Here is a 22,447-nt window from a genome sequence, read left to right as displayed (position 1 = left end):
GGGAGAGTCAGAGGAATGTCCCAAGAGAGCCTTATCTACTACCATAAAACGTTAGGAAAAGTTGAGCAAAACAGGAGTAATCTTTCCTCACAAAAATGAGCCTGGATGACAACTGGAAATGCAGCGGTATGGAGTATCTCCTAATCTAGGGAACTGCCACTTAAGAAGGGTCTCCACAAACCATTTGTGTCCTCCTGAATGTCAAAAGCCAAGAGAAGATGCACAGAATAGAGTAACAAGCAGATTTAGTGAGGGAGATTTTAAGACTGCTTGAGGGCAAGCCCACCTCACTTCTGCAACCAGCTCCTGAGGGTTCAGCAAACAGCTACCCCAGATAACATTGCCTCTATTTAGTAAAGAGAGGCACTAGCACACAAAATTAAGAAAAGAACATAAGCAAAATACAGCTGATAAAATTCTACCAAAAGATCAGATTTTTCAATTTTCCCTAAAAATAGAAAAAATCTCAATGCATGTTCCATAAAAATACAAACACCATGACGCCTCTAGGGGTTACAAAAATGTGAAAAATGACCACAAAGCAAACAGAAAAACTGAAGAGACAGCAAAAAGAGAGGAAAAACAAGCTGGCAGAACTCAGAAAAAAAATAGAAAGAAAAAATAAAGGCTTTATTAGAGAAGTGAGCTGCTTTGGAAGCAACAAAATACAAAATAAACAAGAGCGAAAACATATTTAGAAACATGCAGGAGAGACTTGAGGAAATTGCACAAAATGAAACAAAAAGAACAAAAATAGGAAAGCAATTAGAGAAGAGATGATTAAGATGGAGACAAAGGCATCAACATAGTGATAAAATGTGATTCTGAAGAAAAAATAGAAATATGGAATAGGCATAAAATATTCATCATTACCCAAGTTGTTGTTCAAGCATGAAGGCTAAAGACAGGTGATCTCCTGCTTGCAGTAACTACTACGGGAATACAGCACACATGACCCTTTCCTGAAAAAGAAACTCCTTTGCAAGATGCAGTCATAAAAAGAAGAATCAAAATAAAAACTCCAATGGAGTAAACATGATAAAGCTACTTACATACAGAAACAAAGTCTTCAATTCTGAGAATTACAGATATAAAACAGAATGCAACTATTATAAATATTAAAATGTTAAATATATATATATTTATTTGACAAATTTGGGGAGGAGAAAAAACAGTGTATCACTTGTCTTTCACAGTAGGGAATATATAGGTAGTGCTTAGTGTTGAAACATGAAGTTAAAAAAAGTTATATTCTTTTAATTTTTCATAACTTTTAATTATTTTCATTTAAAATAATTACTTTGAAACTTTATCATTATAAATAAAATTTCATGCAAAGTTTAATCATTTATTTTGAGGAACTTATTTAAAGAAAAGGATGTGATAACATTGAAGTTATCAACAGAATTCAATAACTATCATTGATATTAGACAAATGTATATAAAACGTGATTTGAAAACATCACTTATATAATCAAAATCCATTTCTTTGAAAATCTATGGAAGGATAGAGGGAATTTTCAAGGTTTTACATAAGAAGACAGCTACAGAGAACCAAACGATAAGAACGGAAAAACTTTAGATTAACAACACAGAGAAAGAAGAAAGGTATGAAGAAGCAATGAGTGAAACTATCCAAGTACAACGTGGAGTAGATTTTTCCATGACTAAATAAAAATTGTAGCATATAAACAAATGAATATAAAAATGTGGGTTTTGTGGCCTAAAGTGCATGAATTTACCCTTGTTATATAAGAACTCTGGGAAATCTTCTTCCTTCAGGTTTTAGTTTTCTTATACATAAAAATAGAATCATTTCTCTTCCATGCTTAAAAAAGTGTGTTTGATTTTAAAGTTATTGCAGGGAAATACTTTTTACTCTATGCATGAAATAAATTGAATATAAACAAATATTCTTGTTTGTCAAGTCCTAGAGGTGTCAAGGTATATTGGTGTGTCCATTTTGATGAATGCTAAAAATATGGTTTATTTTAAAATTCATTAGAAATAAGATTGTTGCTTTTAAAAGCAGTATTGCTTTCCAAGTAGAGCAGATTTAGTAAGTAAAAATGCACTTGTTCTATGGCCATCAAAAATACAGCAAAAAGAACTATATGAATGAGCAGTGGTCAATTTTATGAACTTGCAGGAAATATGAACTTAGAAGATTTCAGATCTCTATAGTGCTTTACCTAAGGATAGTATTCTCCTCTCCAAATTTTTAATTCAATTTTATCTGATATATGGGTACCTGGGAAATCAAACACAGATTTAAAAGTATGGCATATCAAATTGGATATTAGGTACTAATTGAATATTAATATTAGACATAAATATCTAATTAACATGATTTGTTTGCTTGCTAATAAATAATCAGCAAATTTCTGTCATTTAAGAGCTTAATTTTTCCTACATGTTATTATAAATAATTTAAAACATAACCAAAAAAGCTGAAAGAATTGTATCTACCATTTAGATTTTACAATCAACATTGACTACACTTTTTTATCACATAGCTATTCATCTATTCATCCTCTATCTATTGATCAACCATCTTATTTTTTATCCATTTTAACTTTCACCCCATACACATCCGTGTGCATGTCATTTACTAGAGTTCAATATTTGTTTAGTTCTTTTTTCATTTATGTAAAATTTATATACAATAAATGCACAAGTCTTAATTGTGTCACTCATTGACTTTTTATAAAAATACATACCTTTGTAACTCAAACCTCATCAAGATATAAAACACTCCGTCATCCCAGGATGTTCCTTTCTGCACCTTTTCAGTGAATCCCTATCCCCACAACCATCCCTCAAATGTAACCACTGTTCAGACTATATGTCACCATTGATTAGTTTTGCCTTTTCTAGAACTTCATAGAAATAGACTCACGTGGTAAGCTTTGGTAGAAGGCTTCTTTCACCAGGTGATAAAATTTTTAACTGTTATTCATTAAGAGTTTTTTTTATGTCTATGAACTCAATATTTCAATGAAAGCATAAGAATAAATAGAATATTCATAACAAGAATGAATAGAATATTCATAACAAAAATGAATAGAATATTCATTCTGGTTATTTCTAAGTTTAATAGAATCTTGATATAACACAAGGAACAGAGGATGAGTCTGTGTACTTTCTGAAATCTTTTCACCAGTGGTATATGTCCCACATTTGAAGAAACATGGAAAAATTCAGTTTTGAATCCTGACTTTACTCTCCCATTATTCTGTTGGTAGACAAGTTACTTAACTTTTATTGACCTGTTTGCTTAACCATCACTGGGATAGTAAGATCTGTCTCATAGAGTTATTGTGCAGAATAAATGAGAAAACTTATGTAAAGTGCTTAATGTAATACCTGGAACATAGGAAGAATGAAATAACTGATAGCAATTCTTATCATAATTAGAAACGTATAACTTAGTTCTTATGTCTATTCTAAGCGAATTAACACATTTAATACTCACAAAAACTATGAGGTAGAAACTATTATTATCTCAATTTTTATATTATGAAACTAAGATATAGAGAGCTTTAATTATTTTTCCAGAATATACACTAAGTGATAGAGCAAGTTTCACACTGAAGCAGAGCTCTCCAGACCTCTAACTCATACCGCCTCTTGGTAGTTTAGTAGTGCTCTGTAATAAACTGGTGTGAGGAATAATGGTAGAGTAAGAACTGTGAGTAGCAGTAATAGTAGTAGTGTTGGACTAATATTAGGAGAAATGGAAAGAATCAGAAGGACACTAAATCTCAGAGTGAAGTAAGAAGGAGACTCTACAAACAAAAGGAAATCCTAAAAGAATCAAGAGAAGGAGGAAGAGGAAGAAGAAGTAAAGGAGGAGAAGAAAAATAATGAGAAGGGGGGAAAGGATGAGGGAGAGGAGTAGGGAAGCAGTAAGGATTATTTGCTAATTTCCCTGTTTCTATTTCTATCAATAAGTTCATTACTTAAGGAACGACTAGAGTTGGAAGTTTCCTAGGTCACAGGATTGAGTCTTCCTGGAGCTGTCAGGCTAAAGCAATTTTACCTTCATGGGCTTCAACATGTTAGTCGAGAGGGCACGGAAATTCTAAAATTAATCCACTAAAAGAAATAGATTTTTGTTGATTTATCTACACTTTCTTTTGTCTTTTAATGTCATTTTTCTGATTGTATAAATAGAGTGTGCTATTTATGGAAAAACTTCAAGATATGGAATAAAACAAAGTTGAAAAATGTCATTCTTTTATTGTCAGAAGAAATACTTTAATTATTTTATAAATATATATGTTTTAGCTATCTATTGCAGCATAACAAATTATCCTATGATTTACTTGCATAAAACAATAGCAATTATAATCTAAAGTTTCTAGAGATTAGGAACCTGGGCATGGCCATAATGAGTCCTCTGTTTCAGGATCTCTCACAAGGCTGGAATCAAATTTCAACTGGGGCAGGATCCTTTCCAAGCTCACTCAGTGGTTGTTGACAGGGTTCAGTTCCTTGCAGGCTGTTGGAGTGAGGATCTCAACTCCTCATGAGCTGTTGACCAGAACTTATCCTTAATTCCTTGTCACAGAGAACTCTTCAAGATGCCAACTTGCTTCATCAAAGCCCTCAAGAGAATTTACAAGCAAGATGGAAGGAAGTCACAGCTTTTTGTAAGCTAATCACAGAAGTGAGATTCCACCACTTTTGCTGATTCTTATTTATTAGAAGTGAGTCACTAAGTCTAGCTCACTCTCAAGGGCAGTGGATTACAAAAGAGAATAAATACTAGGAGGTGTGGATCATTGAGAGTCACCTTGAAAGCCTGCTCACCTTATATATAACCATTACTTAACTTCTGTATAACTCTGTTTCTTCATTGGTAAAACAGAGTACACAATTAGAGAGGTGAGCATACAGTTTTACTCACCTCTCTAATTATTCCCTTATGATAAACTCCCAAAAGTGAAATTGCTAAGCCACAGAATACATGCTCTTTTAATAACATCCTCGAATTACTTTTCGATAAAGTTATGTTACTTTATCTTCTCAGCAGGGAATGACAGTGTCTATTTCCTCAAACCCTCACCAATCCTTAAAAATTTCATCTTAATAACTGATGATAACTTGAAAATCATGAAACATTGCATTTTCATTTAAATTTATATATTCTTATTGTTGATGCTGAACTTTTAAAATATCCATATTGATAATATAAATTTTTCTTCTGTAAATTATCTATTTATATTCTTTCCCATTTTTAAGAGGGACATATTCTTTGAATTGTGGCTTTGTAATTATATTTTTATTTATTTATTTATTTATTTATTTATTTATTTATTTATTTTGATATGGAGTCCCGCTCTTGTGGCCCAGGCTGGAGTAAAGTGGTGCAATCTTGGCTCACTTCAACCTCTGCCTCCCAGGTTCAAGCAATTCTCCTGCCTCAGCCACCCAAGTAACTGGGATTACAGGTGCACGCCACCACACCTGGCTAATTTTTGTATTTTTAGTAGAGATGGGGGTTTCACCGTGTTGACCAGGCTGGTCTGGAACTCCTGACCTCATCATCCACCTGCTTTGCCCTCCCAAAGTGCTGGGATTACAGGCATGAGCCACAGCGCCTGGCCAGTAATTATATATTTCTGTAACGTAAATGCCTCTGGAAATATTGCTGCATTGAGATTTTAGCAGACTTTCAGCAGATAGGATAATTTATTCCCCCTATGAGAAAAGGATGCTGAGAAGACTAAGGAATTCATTCTTTCTCTCTGGAAAGATAAAGTTGTGCATTTGACCCCATTCTTGAAAGACAGACAGGGAAGTATTGATTTTCTAGCTGCTAAATCATACCTAATGAGGGCTTTTCAAGGGTTTTGGGGCTCCAGCAACAAGCTGAGTGAACAACATCAATGGCATAGCAGTTTCAGGAAGTGCTTTACCAAAGCAGAAAACATAAGCAATTGAAGAATGAAGTAGTCCATAAATGCTCGAAAAAGGTATTGCCAACCAGAAAGGACAAGACAGATGAAACATCTGAGAGCTGAAATGATGTTCAAAAGGGGCAGAAATGGGATCAAAGCATAGATAAGTGGAACACTTGTTTAAGAACCCATCTCAAAAATATGACCCATCTCTTTTGACACTTACCTTATGTACAAATGGCCTAGAAAGTGTCTGTAAAGTTGAAGAAGCACACTATGCACTTTCCAAGGGCAAGAGCTTCCCTGTTCATCTTTATATGCAGAGTGCTAACTACAATGCCAAGCTGATTAATAGGTGCTAAAGAAATATTACTAGATTTACTAAAGAATTAAAGTAATAGCACAGTCAGGAAGAGGCGCAGGTGGGTGCAGTAGTGACACGTGGATGCATGGGGGAAGGAAGACAGAGTAATTATTGGTGAAGAAGTGGCTCTCAAAATCAATCTTACAATGCAAGACAAGATTAGTAGCTAGCAAACTTCTAGTTGAAAAATCCATGAACCAAGAAGGTTAGGGTTGATAGGTGTGGCAAACCACCATGCCACACATTGTCCTATGTAACAGACCTGCACGTTCTACACATGTATCCTGGAACTTAAAGTAAAATATAATTTTTTTAAAAAATGTAAAAAAAAGAAGATTAGGAAAACAGATGCCGAGAAACAATAAAGGGATACCTTGGTATTTGAATAAACACCTGCTTCAGCCAGAATGCATCATAAATTTTAGAATCCATGACAGGAAGCATTTTTCAAGTGGATTAGTCATTCATTTACTTATTCAATAACTATACATTGAGCAGCCAGTATGTGATGCTACTCACCGGGTATATGATGATGAACAAAGCACGTGCTATAACTTCAAGATGCAAACAATCACAATGAAGCTTAAAGGCCATGATGAGATAAGGAGATAATTTTTAAGGAGTTCCAGTGAGGAAGCCCAACCCAGCCTTGGAGGTGAAGAAGGCTTCCCAGAGGAGATGAGTCAACTGTTTTGTTTTGTTTGTTTGTTTGTTTGTTTTACCATGGAATCTCCAGTACGTAGGAGGGTTCCTAGTAAATAAACAGTCATTGAATGAAAATAAATGAATGAATGATGATGATGCTGCTATAGTTTGATTATAAATTACAGTTTAATGTGAGACGTTTTCAACTCCAGATTGGTTTCTGGCTGATATTTTTGTATCTATTGTCCAACTTCCTTGCTTGCCAATAATTTGTGGTCAGCAAATAAAAATCAGTGTTAATATTAGCATATGTTAAACACAATTAAGAATGAAAATCAGCAAGAAATAACAATGCTATGCCTTCCAAAATCAAATATTTTTCTTATATTCGTACAGCATTCTCAACCAGGGGCAATTTTGCCTCCCAGGGGATATTTAGCAATGCCTGAAAACATTTTTGATTGTTGGGACAGGAGGAATTCTACAGACATCTGGTGGGTAGAGACCAAGAATGCTTTAAACATACTACAATGCACAGGACAGCCCCCCCCACAACAACAAAAACCCAGCTCCAAATGTCAGTATTGTTAAGGTTGAGAAATCATGGATTTTCAGAAATCAGGGTTTGTGCTTATTTGGCACAGACCATCAAAAGATGGTTTTATCTTTGAACTCTTAAAACACTTCTAGCTCTCAAAGTCCATGTTTAATTACAATGAATGTATTTGGCTCCGTAATAGAACAAAATACATTAGGAAGCATGAAGGAGAAAATGGAGTTTGGCTCTGGGACAAAGGACATACGAAAGGTTAGCCATTTCCCTGCTGCTAAAATGAGATGAAATATTAGAGCCAACTTTTCTCTTGTTTTCTTTGCAGAATGAAGCCTGGGAAAAATTAACAAGTAGAAAATTGTTGTCTATGGCATTTCTCCTGACTTATCCCTCATTATTTGTACTCATTCCCGTCTTCTTCTTTATGTCTTCTCTTCATGTGCAGTCAGCTCATACATAAAGGGCCCAATTAATTGTATTGCCCGTCGTCACCTACTCTTTCAAAATTGCCTTTCTCTGGGTGTCCTGTTCTTAACACTTGAGAGAGACTCACATCAGTGGCAATTGCTGGCAATAGCTTTGATGTTACTACTTGATAACTGGATTTTCATTTTTAAAAGGATGGTATATGCTTAACCCAAAGTAATTGATTAATAATGGTAGGATTTCAAGCAGTGATTTGCAAGAGCATGGCTTTAACTTCACTTTGTTCTTTAGGATTGAATTTGTATGTAAATTCTAACTGTATAAACGTAAGATACTATAACCAAGGTTGGTCTTCATCGTTGGCAACAGTACTGGCTGCAGTTAACCACTAGTAGTGGTTAAAGTACTAAAATACTTCCATACTTATAGATATACAGCTACTGCCCTAAACCTCCTGAATGTGCAGAATTATCCCTGTTGACCCAGCCCCACTGCACACCTTTCTCCAACTGCCCACAATCCAGCAACTACGAGGTAAATGCCTGCCCCTGTTGGTGCCGTCTGGCTCCAGCAGCTTCTGCTCTGATTCACAGGTTCCCGGTTGTTAAGTTGTTTCAACAGTGCCTTGATTATATCTCCAGCTACAATCACTGTAGCATTGTTTTTATTGTCATTTTTGTTGGTGAAGGTGGAGCTTATCTTCTTAGACTCCATTAAGTAAAAGTAAGTGAAAGCTTCTTTTCCTTGTTGTTTGGGTACTTGTTTGAATGTTTTCAAGGGAAACAGAAAATCTTAGGTATGAACCAAATTTTGGCATTTCACAATAATTCTTCTTAAAGGTTTAAGAATTAAATAATGAAACACATACACATGTATCTTTGTTCAAGAAAATTAATTATAGTAAAATATCCATTGCAAAATATGTGGCCATTCTGTTTGTGTCTCTTTCAAATGTGAAATATATACATAATGGTATAAGTTAAGCACACATTTCTGACTCATAGGAATAAGAAATATAATGTAGTGATGTGTACATGAAGAAAAAATAATAAATGAGGAAACGAGGAACATGAAACAAATAGTTTAATTCTAAGAGTACTAAAAACATAATGAGAGATTATAATATAGAAGCATGATAAAGGGTGAATGACATCATTCAACTTGCAAGCCATAAAATTCATTCAAAAATAAGTCTTCAATTTCAAGACTCTAAAGATACTTTAATATGAATATAATTATTATTAAACAATTCTAATCAATACAAAAAGTAAAAAGACAAGTGTAAAAAATAATTCCAAGTCTCATCACTTAGAAGCATCATCATTAACATTAGGTGAAGCTCATTCTAGATGTTGCTCAATTAGTACATATGCAGACAAAAAGATAGATGGATAAATGGTTTAGATATATAAGATAGGTGATAGATTGATACAGAGCATATTAAATTTTATTTAAATAATTATATGATATTTACTTAAAATTTTTAAAAAGCAAAAGAATTTTTGAAGCTAAAAGACTTTGCTAAACTTTATACAATGTTCAAAAAATTTGAGGGCTATCCATTTCTAGAATTTCTATGGATAAGGGAATAAGATTATGCAAAACATTAGGAGATTGTACAGTTTTAAAAAATATTTGTTTCCCTTTTTCTGGCCACCCTATTTCTTCCCTATCATAAAATATTTTGAAATTGGTATACTTTTTTATAGCTCCGTTTCCCAGTTCCTGATCTTTGTTAGTTATTATGTAACTTTTTCTAACATAACCATTATCCTCCCACTTGCCTAATTTAAGTTCTACCTTTAAATGGAGCCCACACCAATGTTCAGCTTTTTCAGTAAATTCATATACAATTATTCTGCTGTTTTGTGATTGATTTAGCAACTGTACATCATCTATTGACTTTCTATAATGAACTGCGAAGATTTAGCCCACTTTTACCACTTCTGCCATGTGTGTTTCTCTCCCTACATCATCTCATTATTGTTTTACCATCATTTATTAAATCAGTGTTCAGTGCTCACATTAATATGACTATGTAAATATTTTTTTCAAATCTGGGCTATTATTACATTTCTTTCCTACTCAGCTTATTTTCTTAAGTTAGTAATTGTCTTGCTTTTCTGTTAATAACCCTAATTCTTCCCAAATTCAGTTTCAGTTTCCATGTCAAGTAATTGGTTAAATCCATTTCTTCCTCCCAGAACAGTCACTCCTGGAGCCCTCTGGTCTCTTGAGCCAGTCATCTAGTCACTCTCTAAGTCTGTTGCAGTATCTTCTACCTTGAAATTTCCTATAGATTTGATTCTGAGGATCCTCTTTTTCTATGTCCAGTGATGGTGGCCTTGTTTCTTAAATCTTGAGTCTTCTTGTTTACATGGAGTGCATTCTGAGGAAGGAAGCATAGGAGGTAAATTTTTAAGATCCATGCATCTGAAAATGTTTTTATTCCATCCTCACACCTTAAAGATAATTTGGCTGCACATCAGTTAGAAACTTCTTTCTGAAATTTGGAGGCATTTACCCATTATCTCCCAGGTTCCACAGTTTAGCTGCTATAGTACCAGGTGCCAATTTGATTCCCCAGGCTTTATAGGTAACTCTTTCCCACCTCTCTTAAAGTCTAGTGTTCTGAAACTTCAGGTTCTGAATTGGTGCAGGTATTTTTTCATTCTTCTGCTGGGTACACAGCACAGTGGGCCATTTCAATTTGGACGACCTTCACATATAACTCTTCTAGAGGGATTTTTTTTTTATTCAGCAATCATACTTTCAATTTCCAAAGAGCTCTTTCTTGTTTCTTATTGTTCCTTTTTTAATCGTCTGATCTGGTTTTATGAATTCAATCTCTTTTCTTAACTTTCTGAAGCTGTCAATTATAGTTTTTATGTTCTTTCTGTTCTTTTCAATGTCATGCTTTTCTCTATGTCCTTTTTCCTGTTTGTTTGGGTTTCAGTGTTCCGACTTCAAGGCTCTCCTCGAAAATCTTGTGATCCCTTGGTGTCTGGTATTTTGAAAGCATATTGGAAGCTATGTGCTTGTGCTTGGGTGTAACTGGCTGGCAGCCTTCATGGTAGAGTGAAGTAGTTGACGCCAGATCTCTTGGGCCAATCAGTTTTTCTAGAGCAGTGGTTCTCAAATCTTGAGTTTGATATTCACACCTGAGTGCTTCAGAATCACTTGGATGTCTTGTTAAAACAAAAATTGCTAGGCCCCACACTTGGATGTTTTCAGTCAGTGCACAGAGTCTGAAAATTTGCATTTGTAATAAGTTTCAGGTGATACTGGTGTTGCTGGGCCTGAGGCCACAATCAAGAACCATTTGTCTAGAGAAAACTCAATCCAATTTCCTGCCTAGTGGGAATACATCTGTTAACAGGAACAAAAAACAAAGCAATCAGACAGGGAATCTCACTCTTCAGTACTGTGTTTCCTCTAAAACCTTCAGTTTTAGGAAGATTCTCATTTCAGACCTCCACTGTACTCCGTGTCCTGCAAATCACAGGTCTCTAGTAATTTCATCAGAGTAGAAACCTCATCCTACCCATGGGTCTAACTGCCTCTTAAGAAGATTTCAACCAGGCCTGGTCTTCTCAGGCAAGCCTCACACCCTTACCTCCTGAGATCCAGCTTGCCGCAAATTCTTGCATTTTTCTAAGATTCTGCAACTTGAATTCTTATTGACATCCTTCTGTTCAGGCACTCAGGTTTCATCTTTCCCCATGCTTAGTCAATTACCACTCTCCCACCTGCTTTCTATTTCCTCACTTTGTTAAGAGTTCATCTAATATTGTCTCTTATTTCCACTTTCTTTTTAATGACGTTTATATTTTTTTGAAAGCTACATTATCTTCATGGGGCTCCAAAAAGGAGCAGACTTAAATGCATGTGCTCAATATGCTCTGTATTATTAGAAATCTCCTTTCTCTTCTTGTTTTTCCCTTCTCTTCTTGTAGCTTCCTTTGACTACAAGAAAACTAAGTCATAAACAACAAATGTAGCCATAGGTGTCTCTTTTATGGGAACAACTCTCTCTTATCCCAGCTACATCCATATGCTCAGATTGTGCTCTCACCTTTAGGAACTAATGCGACCTCCTTAAGGTTTTGAAAAGAGTTATGGGTCACCTTTTTTGGCCCCTTTATTTACTTTGGTTATATTTGACGGTATTTGATTCACAGTTTATTATTTGGATTGTGGATATGCTCATATTTCATTGAGGGTAAAATTTTTTTCTGTAATTTTCATTTGCTGTCAATATTGGTAAATTTCAAGAAAAAAGACTGGAGTCTAAATTGTATTCTGCCATCTGTAATTGAAATTTTCATTTCTAAGAATTTTAAATGCCCTGAAGTTTTATTTATGCCAGCTTGAGGTAAAATGAAAATTAAGTACTGAGAAATTCTTCAAGCCCCCTAAAAGAATATTTCCTTCTAATAGTTATGCAATTTTATTTTTTGGGGGGGGTCATTTTTTAAAGAATTTTATGCCAGCAAAATTTAACCTGAACCATGTAATATACCACTTTAATATTTAAGTTTACTCATTATTGAGTTTAAATATAATTTTACTTTCTATAGGAACATATATATGATAGGTAGGAAGTATAAATTTAAAAAATCTTTATAAGGATAAGCCAATAAAAATGCAACAAATAATTTTTCAGATTTTCTCAGGCGATGCCTGCTGGTGTTAGATATTAAAAGATATTATCTAAACCCATGAATGCAAAAAGGGATTTCAACAAGTAAATGCACGCTTGATAGGTTTGTTGCCCCATTTGTTTTCTGTCACCATAAGCAGGTGACTAGTAGGAGTACACAAGAGGAAAATACAAGTATGTGAAAATAAAACAGGCTCCTAATGTACTGCTGAAATCCTGAAGTTTACGGGATGAATAGATGATCAGTAACTCCATTTTTTAAAAATTTTGTCTACATTTAAGTTGTAGTCCTTTCTCTGTTTTGTATTGTTTTCCTCAAGAGCCAGTGAAGTTTTTTAAAGCAAGAATTTTAGCAATGTCAAGTGGAATTCAAACCATGAGAAATAAATAGTTCTGGATTATTATAAAGTTTATGCAATATATCAGAAACTGTATTTTTACTAATAGGGACTTTGCAAGTTAATCATAAAGGAATTTAACAAAGAAACAAATTACTGCAAATTGAGAATAAGAAGTAGAGAAATCAGTGAATAATGTACAGCCCATTATTTGGAATGAGTAGGTTGGGCACTTTAATATATCATCATATAGCATTTTCCTCTTTCTCTCTCATTTTCATTATAAAGTTTTCCTTGACTGAGTCTTAGAGTCTTGTTTGTATTTATAGAGGACCTTTATCTTCTTTGAGGTTTCCAAGACATATTTTCCTGTCCACCTTCCTACCATCTCAAAATTATTTTTAAAAAAATACTATTTGAGACTGTTTTCAAACTATTTGAAAGGGAATGTATGAAAAGTAAATGATTCAGGAAAGCACCTAGTTCATTAGGCTAGAGAGTGGCCAAAGGCTTATTTACAAATCCAGGCATATCTTGTTTTATTGTGCTTCAAGTCATCACACTTAGCAGATGTTCTGTTTTTTACAGACTGGTTTGTGACAACTGCACCCAGCAAGTATATCAGTGCCATTTTTCCAAAAGCACGTGTTCATTTCATGTATCTGTGTTATAATTTGTTAATTCTCGCACTATTTCAAAACTTTTAATTATTTTTATATTTTATATCTGTTGTGGTGATTTGTGATCTTTGATGTTACTATTGTAATTGTTTTGAGGTACCACAAACCACACCCATGTAAGACATCAAACTTAATCAATAAATATAGTCTGTGTTCTGACTGCCCCATTGACCAGCCTTTCCCTCATCTCCCCCACTCTCCTTGGTTCTCCATATTCCTGACATACAGTAATATTAAAGTTAGGCCAGTTAATAACCCTGCAATGACCTCTATGTGTTCAGTAAAAAGAAGAGTCACACATGTCTCATCTGAAGCCAAAAGCCAGAAATGACTAAGCTTAGTAAGAAACAAAACGAGAGGTAAGCCAAAAGCTAGTCATCTTGCGCCAGCTAGCCAAGTTGTAAATGCAAAGGAAAAGTTCTTAGAGGAGAGTAAAAGTGCTACTCCAGTGACTTCATGAATGACAAGACAGTGAAACAGCCTAATTGCTGATGTGGAGAACATTATAGTGGTCTGTAAGGAAGATCAAACCAGCCACAACATTCCCTTAAGCCAAAGCCTAATTCAGAGCAAGACCCTAAATTTTTCAATTTAGGAAGGCTGAGAGAGGTGAGGAAGCTGTGAAGAAAAGTTTGAAGCTAGCAAAAGTTGATTCATGAAGTTTAGGGAGAGAAGATGTTTCCATAACATAAAAGTGCAAGATGAAGCAATAAGTGCTGGTACCAAGTGCAATCACAAGTGCTGCAGCAAGTTATCCAGAAAATCTGGCTAATATGATGTACCAAGGTGGCTACACTAAACAACAAGTTTTTCAATGCAGATGAAACACCCTTATATTGGAAGAAGATACCATCTAGGACTTTCATAGCTAAAGAGGAAAAGTCAATGACTGGCTTTAAAGCTTCAAAGGATGGGCTGACTCGTGTTAAGGGCTGATATTGCTGGTGACTTTAAATTGAAGCCAATGCTCATTGATTATTCCAAATATCCTAGGGCTCTTAAGAATTATGCTAAATCTACTCTGCCCATGCTCTATAAAGGTAACAACAAAGCCTGGATAACAGCATATCTGTTTATGACAGTTTCCTGAACATTTTAAGCCCACTGTTGAAACCCACAGCTTAGAAAAAGAGTCCTTTCAAAATATTACTGCAAATCGACAATGCGTCTGGTTACCCAAGAGCTCTAATGGAGATGTACAAGGAGATGATTATTGTTTGTATGCTTACTAACACAATATCTATTCTGAACCCATAGATCAAAGAGTCATTTTGACCTTCAAGTCTTATTATTAAGAAATACATTTTGTAAGGCTCTAGTTGCTCTAGATAGTGATTCCTCTGATGAATCTGGGCAAAGTAAATTGAAAACCTTCTAGAAAGGATTCACCATTCTAGATGCCATTACAATCATCCATGATTCATGGGAGAAGGTTATCAACATTAACAAGATTTTAGAAGAAGTTGATTCCAACACTCATGGATGATTTTGAAGGGCTCAAGACATCAGTGGAGGAAGCAACTCTAGATGTGGTGGAAATAACTCTAGATGTGGTGGAAATATCAAGACAACTAGAATTAGAAGTGAAGCCTGAAAATGGGACTGAATTGCTGCAACCTCATGATAAATATTCAACAGATGAGGAGTTGCTTCTTATGAATGAGCAAAAAAAATTGGTTTCTTGATATGGAATCTACTCCTGGTAAGGATGCTCTGAACATTGTTGAAATGACAACAAAGGATTTAGAATATTACATAAATTAAATTGAGAAAGCAGTGGAAAGGTTTAAAAGGACTGGCTTCAATTTTGAAAGAACTTCTACTGTGGGGAAAATGCTATCAAACAGCATCACATGCTACAAAAAAATCTTTCATGGAAAGAAGGGTCAATTTCATTGTTGTCTTACTTTAAGAAATTGTGACAATCACCCTAATCTTCCACAACCACCAAGCTGATCAGTCAGCACCATCAACATTGAGGCAAGGCCCTTCACCAGCAAAGAGATTATAAATCACAAGGCTCAGAAAATCATTAGCACTTTTTACCAAAAAATATTTTTAATTAAGGTATGTACATTCTCAGACATAATGCTATTGCATACTTAATATACTATAGTATAGTGCAAACATATTTTTATATGCACTGAAAAAGCAAAAAATGTGTGACTTACTTTAGTGTGATGCTCAGTTCATTGTGGTGGTCTGGAACTGAACCTGCTATATAATCAAAGTATGCCTGTATGACCAAATGAATCTTTCACATTTCTTTGTGTAAACAGAGCCAAACATTTCTCACTACTAAATTCTAAATGCTGAAAAGTCTTGAAACCAACAAACAAGGTTATCTTTCATTCTGAAGTATGTCATCTATCTCTTACTTATATTTTCTCCATATTTTATTCCTCAATGCACTTACATCAAATGGGAACTTCTTAGAACCAAGAGGGTTTTTTTTGTTGTTGTTTTTTGTTTGTTTGTTTGTTTTTGGTTTTTTTGAGATGGAGTCTCGCTGTGTCACCCAGGCTGGAGTGCAGTGGCCGGATCTCAGCTCACTGCAAGCCCCGCCTCCCGGGTTCATGCCATTCTCCTGCCTCAGCCTCCCGAGTAGCTGGGACTACTGGCGCCCACCAATTTTTTGTAGTTTTAGTAGAGACGGGGTTTCACCGTGTTAACCAAGATGGTCTCGATTTCCTGACCTCGTGATCCGCCCTCCTTGGCCTCCCAAAGTGCTGGAATTACAGGTGTGAGCCAACGCTCCAGGCCAGAACCAAGAGTTCTTGATTTTCCTATTAAGCAATAGACTTTGCATTTAAATTAGTATTATTACTAAGTTCTGCATCACAATTTACAGATAATAGGCCCCTAGTAAATGTTAGTTTTCTTTTTAAAAATTTCTTTCATTAGTTAAAATCATTAAACTCCTATTAAAACAAGGAAATCATTCTGTCTGTACTATTTTGAGTTTTTCTGAGATCTTTTTAAAGAGAATACTTTGGAAATGTTTCTCAAGATCTTTTAAAAAATACACAGATGCTTTTAAAACTTCAAGAACAACAGAGCTACAAAGTGCAATTTCAAGTCTTCACATCTACAGGTGATATTTTCGCAACTTTGTCATGAAAACTTATCTATCTTTAAATATATTCTAGTTAGTTTCAGTTAAAAATAAACCTAATTTAATAGCTGCTCAGGGCATTCAAATTTGCTTACTGAAGCACTAACACAAGGGAAATTACACTGAGGAATTTTTTTATTTGAAAACATTTTTCCCGTTAGTACCCAATTAAAAATGCACAGAATGGTAAGAGGAAAAATAAAGAGTAAATGTGGCTCATGAGAAACCTGAATAAAGGCCAGGTATTTTCCAAATAACAACTGGCAGGAATCCTTTTATAAATACAAATACGTAATGGCAGTTATCAATATTGTACTGTCATACCCCAGAAAGTATTTTATTGCCAAAAAACCCACTCGAGTGTGCTGTTTTTTTAATCCTTACAATACTGTCCAAAAGAGCAATGACATACTTCATAGAAAATAAAATGTTATTTCAACTAAACTTTACTGCTGTAGTAGGGTATCTTCCGCTAATTATTGCAAAGTAATTACAGCTCTCAAGCAAGCAAATACACTGTTAAACAGAATGTGGAACTTTGGTTTTGACATAACTGTAACAAGATTAAACCACTCACTACCAAGATGAAACTACTTTATACAGAAGTGTTGTTGCAGGTACCAACACTTAGACAACTGGTGCATAGTTCAGAAATACTTTGCGACATTTACAATTGTAAGCCTACACTTTTTTCTAAAAGGAAAAAATAAAATAAAAGTCTTCCAAGTAGTGTCATTTAATATATTATCGTCAGTCTATGGTAGAAATTTGTACTTATACAATTTCCAGCCCCCAATAGTTAGGCAGGTCCATATGAGGTTCTGGTCAATAAATAGGAGCAAAAGGGATCTGTGTATCACTTATAGGTTGAAACTGTGGAGGCTTATATGTGATTCTCCAGTCTTGCTCTTGTTCTGCTGCAACAGATGTAGAGTTCTTAGTGCCTCAATGCAACTTCCTTTAAAAAAAAATGTGGTAATAACACTTAACATGAGCTGTATCCTCCTAACAAATGTTTATGTGCATAATACACTATCATTAACCATAGGCACAATATATTGTATGGCAGATCTCAAGAAATTATTCATCTTGCTTAGCTGAACTTCATACCCATTGAACAGCAACTTCTCATTTCCCATTCCTCTCTTCCAGTACCTGCCAATCACTATTCTACTCTCTGCTTCTATGATTTTGACTATTTTTGATAATGCTTATAAGTGGAATAATGAAGTATTTATCTTCATACAACAGCATTATCCTCATGCAACAGTATTATCCTTTATGCAACAGCACGTTGGCATAAAGTAGTTTCATCTTGATAATGAGTGGTTTAATCCTATTACAGTTATGTCAAAACCTTTAAGTTCCACAGTCTGTTTAATAGGGTATTTGCTTGCTTGAGAGCCACAATGACTTTGCAATAATTAGCAGAAGATACCCTACTACAGCAGTAAAGTTTAGTTGAAATAACATTTTATTTTCTAGGAAGTATGTCATTGCTCTGTTGGACAGTATTGTAACGATTAAAAAATCAGCACACTTGAGTGGGTTTTTTTGGCAATAAAGTGGTTTATTTCATTTAGATAATGTTCTCCAGGTTAACCCATGTTGTCACACATGGCAGAATTTCCTTCTTTTTCAAGGCTGAATAGTATATCATTGTGTATATGTACCACAGTTTCTTTATCCACTCATCTGTCCACAGACATTTACTTTGCTTTCAACTCTTGTCTATTGTGAATAATGCTGCAATGAACATGGGAGTGCAGATATCTCTCGGAGATACTGATTTCATTTCCTTTGGATATGTACTCAGAAGTGGGATTGCTGGATCATATAGTAGTTCTATTTTTAATTTTTAGGAATCTCCATACAGTTTTCATAGCAGCTACACCATTTTATTTTTCCACCAGTAGTGTACAAGGGTTCCAATTTTTCCATATTCTTACCAAGACTTATCTTTTTATTTATTTATTTTTAATAGCAGGCATCCTAACAGATGTGAGGTGATATCTCATGGTGGTTTTGTTTAGTGATTTAGTGATTATTGAGCATCTTTATATATATTTGTTGGCATGTGTTTATTCTTTTAGGAATGTCTATTTAATCTTATTCCTATTTTTCTTTTTTTCTTTTTTATTTATTTATTTACTTATTTATTTTTTTGAGATGGAGTCTTGCTCTGTCGCTCAGGCTAGAGTGTAGTGGTACGATCTTGGCTCACTGCAACCTCTGCCTCCCGGGTTCAAGCAATTCTCCTGCCTCAGCCTCCCAAGTAGCTGGGAGTACAGTATTTTAAGAGAGGTGCAGTTTCACCGTGTTACCCAGGCTGGTCTTGAACTCCTGAACTCAGGCAATCCATCTGCCTCGGCCTCCCAAAGTGCTAGGATTACAGGCGTGAGCCACCGCACCTGGCATGCCTATTTTTCAGTCAGGTTATTTGTTACCTTGTTTTTTTTTTTTTTGCTGAGTTGTAGGAATCCTTACATATTTTGGATGCCCACTCCTCATTAGATATATGGTATATTAGTCCATTTTCATACTTCTTTATAGCCCGAGACTGGGTAATTTATAAAGAAAAGAGGTTTAATTGACTCACAGTTCAGCATGGCTGAGGAGGCCTCAGGAAACTAATAATCATGGCGGAAGGCCAAGGGGAAGCAACAAACCTTCTTCACAAGGTGGCAGGGAGGACAAGTGCTGAGTGAACGGGGAAGAGCCCCTTATAACCTCACGAGATTCTCAGTTCTCGTGAGAACTCACTCACTATCACAAGAGCAGCATGGGATCACTGCCCCATGCATGATTCAATTATCTCCATCTGGTCTCTCCTTGACACTTGGGGATTATGGGGATTACAATTCAAGATGAGATTTGGGTAGGGACACAAAACCAAACCATATCATATAGTTTGAAAATATTTTCTCCCATTCTGCAGGTTGACTTGTGACTTTGTGATTGTTTCATTTGCTTTGCAGAAGCTTCGTTGCCTGAATGCCTAAGTCATTAGGCACAGCAAAGTTCCCCTTAATCTGCAAAGGCCATATAGATTGAACAAGAATGAAATCTTGACTTTGTTAAATCACTGGAATTTTTTTTGTGGTATAAATTTTTCAAGAAATTCTTTCATATTATACAAAACGTCTGATTTATTGACATGAAGTTTTTCATAATATTCTCTTATTATAATTAAAATATCTGTAGATCTGTAATGATGTCACCTCTTTCATTCCTGAGACTGATTTTTTCTTCTTTATTTTTCCTAATAAACCTGGTTAGATTTGAATTAATTTTTTTCTGTCTTCTCAAAGAACAAGCTTTTGTTTTCATGATGCTTCTGCATTCTTTTCTAATGTTCTATTTAGTTTATTTCTACTCCAGATTATTGTTTCCTTTCTTCTGCTTATTGTAAGTTTATTTTCATTTTATTTTGCTAGTTTCCTAAAGTGGAAACTGAGATGTCTGATTTAAGATCTTTCTTCTTTTCTAAAATAGGTGTTTAGTGCAGTAAATTTCTCCCTAAGTATTCTTTTAGTGGCACACATTTTGGTAGTGTGTTTAATTTTTATTCAGTTTAAAATAATTTCTTTTTTTAAAAAAAATGTTTCTTTGAGCCAGGAGTGCATTGACTAAGGAATGATTAGTAAATGACCTTTATTACTATCCCTGATAGTATTCTTTACATTGAAATTTACTTTGTTAGCCAGGCAAGGTGGCTCATACCTGTAATCTCAGCATTTTGGGAGGCTGAGGCAGCTGAATCACTTGAGGCCAGGTGTTTGAGACCAGCCTGGCCAACGTGGTGAAACTCTGTCTCTACTAAAAAATACAAAAATTAGCCAGGCATGGGTAGTGGGCACCTGTAATCCCAGCTACTTGGAAAGCTGAGGCATGAGAATCACTTGAACCTGGGAGGTGGAGGTTGCAGTAAGCCGAGATCACGCCACTGACTCCAGCCTGGGTGACAGAGCAAGACTCCGTCTCAAGAAAGAAAAAAAAAAAAGAAAGAAATTTACTTTGTTAAATATTAATACAAACAATTTCACTTTTGTAAGTATATTATTTAAAAGTACATTATATAGTTTCCCAATTTTTGAAGACAGCTCAACAATTTTTGTTATTGATTTCTAATCTAATCATATTTTAGAGAATACGCTTTGTAGAACCTGAAATTTTTTTTTAATTTATTAAGACTGTTTGATGGCCTAGTATGTGATATGTTGCGGTAAGTGCTCTCTGTAAATTCTGCTGTTGTTTGCTCCATAAATGTAAGCTAACACTCCAGCCTGGGCAACAGAGCAAGACACTGTCTCTTTTTTTTTTTTTTTTTTTAAAAAAAAAAGGCAGCTAGGTCAAGACAATTGATAGCAGTTTCCTAGTCATCTATCACCCTGCTGATTTTTTGTCTACTTGTTTTATCAATTAGTGAAAGAAGAGAATTAAAATTTCTGACTATACTTGTGAATTTGTATTTATCTCTTTGCAGTTCTTTTTTTCTTTCATATATTTTGAAGCTCTGTTATTAGGTAAATAAGCATATTATTTTGTCTTTCTAATTACTGTTAGAATTAGTAATTCTAAATACTAGTCCTTCTAATGTTTCATTAGGATCTAGTTATTATTAGGAGGATTATTATGTTTTTCTAATGTATTATATTGCAGGAATAATTAAGAAATAATCTTCATTATTCCTGGTGGTATTCTTTACATTGAAACTTACTTTATTCAGTATTAATATGGTCATTCCACCTTTCTTTTGGTTCACGTCAGCATGATATAAATTTTCTACTTTTTTTCTTTAAACATACTCGTATGTTTATATTTAAAGTGAGTTTCTTGTAGACAAAATACAGTTAGGTCTTGCATTTTTATCCAATATGAAAACTTTCGTCTTTTAATTGGAGCATTTAAACCACTTGCATTTTATGTTATTTTAATGGTTCAATTTAAGTCTATCTGCCTATTTACCTGTATTTGTCCCATCTTTTCTTTGTTCCCTTTTTCATCTTTTCTATCAGCATATATAGAGTGCTTTTGTTATTCTATCTTATCTCCTCGGTTAGCTTATTAGCTATGATTCTTTGACTATGTTTTATTATTACTTAAGTGCGTGCTTTTGAATTTATAGCATAACTCTTTATCAGTCTACCTTCAAGTGGTACTTTACCACTACATACATAGTATAAGAACTTTACATAGCATACTTCCATTTCTCACTTGTTGGTCTTGTCATTGTTATCACATATTATTATTGCCACATATTTTACATATGTCATTAACCATATACTACATTGTTAATATTTTTTAAAGTCAACTATCTTCTTAAAATATTAAATAAGAAGAAAAACTCTGGGGTTTTTTTTTGCTTATAACATTTGTATTCTTCATTCCTATTTAAAGAACGATATTTTCATCTTTTTTTTTTTCTATTTGGAAGACTCCTTTTAACATTTCTTGTCCTTTTCCTCTTCGTCTTTGATATTTTCTGTAGATGTAGAATTCTAGATGGACAGATTTTTTTCTTCAATATTTTAAAGAGGTTGTTCCATTATCTTCTCACTTTTGTTTTTTCTGATCAAAAATTTTCTTTAATTCTTATCTTTGTTTCTATGTATATAATATGTCCTATTGCCTTGGCTGCTCCTATGATTGTCTCTTTATTCCTGGTTTTGAGCACTTTGAAGATGTACCTCACTGTAGTTTTCATCATGTTCCTTTCACTTGAGTTTCTTGCGTCTATGGGTTTATAATTTTCCT

The 22,447-nt window shown here is 34.5% G+C and overlaps 1 protein-coding gene across 9 annotated transcripts in view, besides 1 other annotated feature; it reads left to right on the top strand.

Annotated features, from left to right (window-relative positions):
• Nucleotides 1–22,447, top strand: part of PTCHD4 (patched domain containing 4) — a 254,525-nt gene that overhangs the window by 129,213 nt on the left and 102,865 nt on the right. The gene's annotated exons all lie outside the window — the stretch shown is intronic.
• Nucleotides 7,538–7,832: a silencer, noted in NCBI's record as "tiled region #3755; K562 Repressive non-DNase unmatched - State 24:Quies". NCBI's record gives its function as "represses a minimal TATA promoter and a strong SV40 promoter by Sharpr-MPRA in K562 cells {active_cell/tissue: K562}" and the evidence as "EXISTENCE:reporter gene assay evidence [ECO:0000049][PMID:27701403]".

The sequence above is a fragment of the Homo sapiens genome, chromosome 6 (assembly GCF_000001405.40).
Source record: "Homo sapiens chromosome 6, GRCh38.p14 Primary Assembly".
Taxonomy (NCBI): domain Eukaryota; kingdom Metazoa; phylum Chordata; class Mammalia; order Primates; family Hominidae; genus Homo; species Homo sapiens.
This window is presented reverse-complemented; position numbering and strand designations above follow the sequence as displayed.